This window comes from Homo sapiens, chromosome 18 (assembly GCF_000001405.40).
Source record: "Homo sapiens chromosome 18, GRCh38.p14 Primary Assembly".
NCBI lineage: Eukaryota > Metazoa > Chordata > Mammalia > Primates > Hominidae > Homo > Homo sapiens.
Genome location: NC_000018.10, coordinates 71,413,960 through 71,419,999, shown reverse-complemented (window position 1 = coordinate 71,419,999; position 6,040 = coordinate 71,413,960).

Below are 6,040 nucleotides of genomic sequence, written 5' to 3'. Positions count from 1 at the left end.
TTGTCTCTGATAATTCAGATTTCTTCTATGTCTTTTTTGTTACTTTCTTCCACAGGTATTTTACAGATAATAGGTAAAATGCTTAAGTTTTTGTACTGTTGTGTCTTGTTTTCGTTTCTGGCTAAATGCTCTCTGAGAAGCTTGAAAAGAAAAATACTCTTTCTCAAATTTCACGGTTTTTTTTTTTCCTTTAAAGAAACATTGATTTTTCTCCCTAGTGTTCCTTATAGAAGCCTGATTCTGTTTTTGTTTATTTTCTTGTTCATATGCTATACTAATGTCATTTCCTGGAAATAACTAGCAGCTGCTATGGCAGACAGCAGGAGTGCTTGTGGTATCTTAAATCTGTCCCTTAGAAATGAATTAAAAGTAGGTATTAAAAACCAAATGACAAGTTTTGATGATAGAAAACTCTCAACTTTCTATCCAAATTAATTAAAATATTGTCTTTTATTTATATCAGCAACAAATCCTGTGAATAAATAAAATCTGTTAAATATTTAAACATATGCATATAATTCTGATACATCATGTCTTGTGGTAAGAATTTGGCAAAAATATTATACTATTCATTTTGCCTTTTTTTAACCATCCTTGAAATATTCAAACCTTTGCGGTATTGTCATCAACAGCTTGTGTCTATTATTCACTGCAATATATTCTTTAAAAAAAAATCCCTCAATTGGCACTGTGAACATGGGTCTGTTCTTAGATAGTTCAACTACTAATTGAAAAAAATTTTGTAAACTATTGACAACCTTAACTTTCAAATTAAAGTTGTGTGGGCTAGGCATGGTGGCTCACACCTATAATCCTAGCACTTTGGGAGGCCAAGGCAGGCAGATCACTTCAGCCCAGGAGTTCCAGACAAGCCTGGGCAATATGGTGAAACCCTATCTCTACAAAAGATACAATAATAATTAGCTGGGCATGGTGGCTCGTGCCGGTAATCCCAGCTACTTGGGCGGGTGAGGTGGGAGGATCACTTGAGCCAGGGAGGACGAGACTGCGATGATTCCAGACAGCCCCACTGCACTCCAGCCTGGGCAAAACAAGACCCCATCTCAAATAAAATATAAAATAAAAATTTTAAAAAATGTGTGCACAAGTGTATGGGTGTGTGTGCACTTTCAGTTGAAGTTCTCTTTAGAAATTACTTTTAGATTCTCAAAAAAAGTGAACATCCTAAACTCCAATCACTATTTCATGTTAATTAACCTTATTCCCATCATCCTAAATATATTTCTCAATAATCCCTTTTTTATTTTTTGTATGTATAGTGTCTGAGAAGTTGCTAAACCGTCCAGTTTGCAGCTACTTTTTTCTCAAAACCAACTCAGTTCAATTTAATTTGATATTTATTGAGTGCCTCCCATAAAGCATAAGTTGGCTCATGTCATTCCTCTGTTAGACATCTTCAGTATTTCTCATCTTATGCAGAGTTATACCATTATATGAGTCTGGCAGAACCTGGTACCACTCTGCCTCCTCTCCACCTGCTGGACCCCTCACTGCGTGTTTCCCAGGGTCACTGGAATCTTTGCTGTTATTTCAACAGACAACTCCCCACCCCTAAGGCCTCTGAGTTGTTGTTGTTGTTCTCATTACAGGTATTCAACTGTCTCTCCAACTCGTCTTCTTACTTCTTTCAAAAAAATGACCAAATGTCACCTTCTCAATGAGGCCTATCCTGACCCTCTGTGTAGAAGCTTTCCCAGGCATTTGCAGCATCTGAATGAGTGAAACTGCTATGATCCCAGTTTTCTTGGCAGTCCGACGGGGTGGAGGAAGAGTGGTTTGGGAAGGCCACAAACAGGAGGTAAATTTGGAATTGTGTGGAACACTAAAGTGGGAAACAGCAATGGAGAGAGATGTAATAGAAGAGGTGAGGGAAGATTCAGAGACCTGAAAGCAGAGGTGTGGAGGGGCACAGGTTTCCATTTTAAGTAATGGGCTAAGGGAAAGCGCTATCCTCATTATTTACTTTATACACATAATTCTGAAAATTTGGCATTACGTAAATATTTATTTATTTGCATACAGGTTTAGATAACTAATGTTTTTAAGGCATAAGTTCTGCAATTCTATTTCAGTGAAATCACAATATTGAAAACACATTGTTCTGTACCATTTTATGATGTTTACAATTTATTCATTTTTATTATTTTAACTATATTTTATTATTTGTTATTTATATTATTTTTATATATTTATGTTTCTTTAAGAGAATGAAGTGAGTTTATTATTTTACTGAATTAAATGTTGAAGGGAAACATGGAATTGTGTAAAGAGTAAGCATAAACAGGAGATGAATAGCTTGTGTTAATTACCAAGAAACTCACGAGAAGAAATTTTCCAGCTTGTTCATTTAGAAACCCTCCCTTCACTCTCCACTTAGGCAGAGCCACTCATATACGACACGCAGAGCTGAATGCTTAAATGAACGCTGGGGTATTTTGGCACATTAAATGTAGTTTGAGATAAATAGTAATATGAGTCTACATATGTTCTTATTTTTGCATCTTAAAACATTTTCACCAGAATAACCTCTCTCTTTTACAGTACAGTTATGATATGGTTTATGTTCTCTGAAATAAAACACCATTTACACTTGATCTTAGCCAAAAGGCTGAGAAGCGATAAAAAAAACACCATTCACAAACCATAGCTCCCCACAAATCTGTCCGATAAATTAGAAAAGGCAATATTTATAAAAAACCACAAATGAAAAACACCATATATGTTTCAGTAAAGTCTTAACCTTAATACATTTAATAACATAAAAGAAAGGTAATGACTTTGCCAAAATATTAATGGAATTATCAAGTAAAAGCAAAAGCCAACTTGACATAAAGATTAATTGTTAACAGAAACATATGGAGAAAAGTTCTGACTTGGACAGCTACTTAATCCATTTAGTTACGAATAGAGATTTTCGGCCAAGTTGTTAGTAAAGGACGTACAGGGGAATTTTGCCCTTAAGCCTGTAAAATTGTGAATACGATATTTTATTAAGCACTACAGAACTTTAAAACTGAGAACTGGGGGAGCACTGGCATCTCCCCCAATACTAGCCAAGGACAACAAAGCCAATTGTGAAAACAAACAGATCTCACTTCACCAAATGTTAACAGACTATAATACATCTAGAGTAATTAAAACTCTAAGGAAACAGCACAAGAATAGACAAAGGGTCAAGTGGAACAGGAGATTCCAGACACAGGCACGTATTACATAGTCTTATGATATGTTACAAATGTGGCACTGAAGAACAATGTGAAAATAAGGGTGTTTTCACTAAACGCTGCTTGATGAATGCATAACTCTATTCATTAGAAAAAGAAGAAGAAACAGGAGGAGATGGAAGAAACAGAGGAGAAGATAAAAGGAAAAGAAAGCAGAAAGTTACATTATTCACAAAAGTCATTTCTAGGTAGATAATCAATTTAACTGTGAAATTTACAACCATACTTCTTGTGGTTAACAAAGGAAAATTTATGAAATTAACATCAAGAGAATTTCTTAAGCACTAATTAAGCACCACATAAAAGGCTTTAACCATAAATTAATAATAGATAAATTGGACTATATTAAAATTTTAGTTCATCATAATTCCAAGAGTGAAAAATCCAGCCACATGTTGGTATGTATCTGCAATACATATTAACAACAAAAGGCTTGAATCTAGACTATATAGAGAGCTAAACACCAATTTCAGAAAAGACAGATCCTCACCAAAAATATACCAGAAACTTAGACAAGCAGTTCAGAAAAAACAACTTTGAAAAAAATAATGAATAGATGAAAACTGTTAACTCAGCCTCATGAGCTGCGATGGTGTGAAGTGGTCTCTATCCACACTCATCAGAATGGTAAACATTTAAAGCAAACAAACAACAGCAACTAATAAATCCACAAGTCGGTCAGAAAGTTTTATCAAGGATATGGAGCACATTTATGCATTCTTTTTAATTTTATTTATTTCAATAGCTTTTGGGGTACAAGTGGATTTTTGTTACATGGATGAATTACATAGCGGTGAATTCTGAAATTTTAGTGCATCTGTCAAATGAGTAGTTTACATTGTACCCAATGTATAGTTTTTCACATGGGAATATGTGTGTGCTACCCTTTTTCTGATCTCTTGTTCAATAAATGATAGATCCACATAAATATAGATATATAGATATAGAATAGACATAGATAAAAAATATAGATAAGCATATATTTTCTACAAGAAAAATGAATCATTTAAATTTCACACAGTATACATACTATATCATGCACTCTTGAGTTAAATAAAATTGGGAGTAATTATAAAAATATAAGCCAAAGTTAAAACTCACTGCTACAACTTCTTTTAGAACAAACAGGAAACAACATAGAATATCTGGGATAGTTGGAATATATATATCATAACTCATTAAAAATAGTATTATATCCATACTTGTTACAAAATACAAGAATCAAATTATTTCAGTACTAAAATTTAGCCAAGCAAAACATTATTAATCTAGTCATTACTATTATTTTTATTTGCCAATTTGATACTAAAATTAAAATTTTAAATCCGCCTAATTTGTTTATATACTTGATCACTGTGTTTTAGTTATTTTTGGCTTAAATTTTAACCTAGGCCAGGCACGATGGCTCACACCTGTAATTGTGGCATCTTGGGAGGCAGAGGCAGGCAGATCGCCTGAGGTCAGGAATTGGAGACTAGCCTGGCCAACATGGTGAAACCCCATCTCTGCTTAAAAAAAAAAAAAAAAAAAATCCAAAATTAGCCAGGTGTAGTGGCAGGTGCCTGTCTTTTCAACTACTCAGGAGGCTGAGGCAGGAGAATCTCTTGAACCTGGGAGGCAGAGGTTGCAGTGAGGCAAGAATGTGCCACTGCACTCCAGTCTAGGCAAAAGAACGAGACTCCATCTTAAATAAATAAATAAATATATATATATATATAAAATTAGTCTAATCATCAAAATTATCAACTTCCAAGTTTTATTAATGAGTTACCATGCTTCTGGCAATGCAAAATTGAAAAGAAAAAAAAACACATTAAAACTGAGGATTGTTTTAACTTTCAAAATATTCTAATAAATTGTTACTTTATTTGATTTAAAATTTTTATTACAATAACTAAGGTAAAATCTGCATTTTGTGTAACAAAAATTTGAACAGTCTGAATTCAAAAGCCAGAGACACAATTTTTTCTATGAATTTTGTTTCTATTTCCATCAGATTACTGATTTTTTTCTCTTTTTGAGTCCTATTTGTAGATTATAAATTATGTCTTTGCCTTTTTAATTACAGGTATTTTAAGTCTATTTATTCTCTGTCCAATTTGTATAGAGTGTTTGATTCTGAAAAAATATGTTTAGTATCTTTTCTGCTTTTTCTTTTAATTGTTACTTCCTATGAAAATATTTTGGTAGCACTTGCAATTCTGTTAGGCACACAACTTGGCACAATTCTTCATGATATAGGAGGTGGTGCTCATAAAGCCTTCTTTGATCTGAGCAGTAGGGATGCTGCAAGAATTAAATGACCAAATATGCCCATGAGGCCCTTACAACAGTGCCTGGACATAGCAATTGCTTCATAAATTCTAACTATGCCTTTGAGGCACTCACAACATAAACCCACAAGGTCCATCTGCAGATGGGCAGCTTCATTCTCTTCAGGCCAGAATGGGGACTGGGCTTTCCATCTCTGTACTCCCCTCACTAGCCATTCAGCTCCTTTATATTTTACTATCATATATGTGATCCAAATTCATTAAAAAATAAATGTTCTCAATTTTATTAAGACAAAAATAAAAATTACTTGAAATTTTGCTACCTTGAATTAATGGTCCCCTTTTTATATGTATTGTTTATGCAACTATGTAAGATTACACACACACACACACAAAGACTGGATGGATGGATAGGTAGATAGATAGATAGATAGATAGATAGATAGATAGATAGATAGATAGATAGATAGACAGATAACATACATACATACATAGATGGAAATGTAATTTCCAAATTTTTTA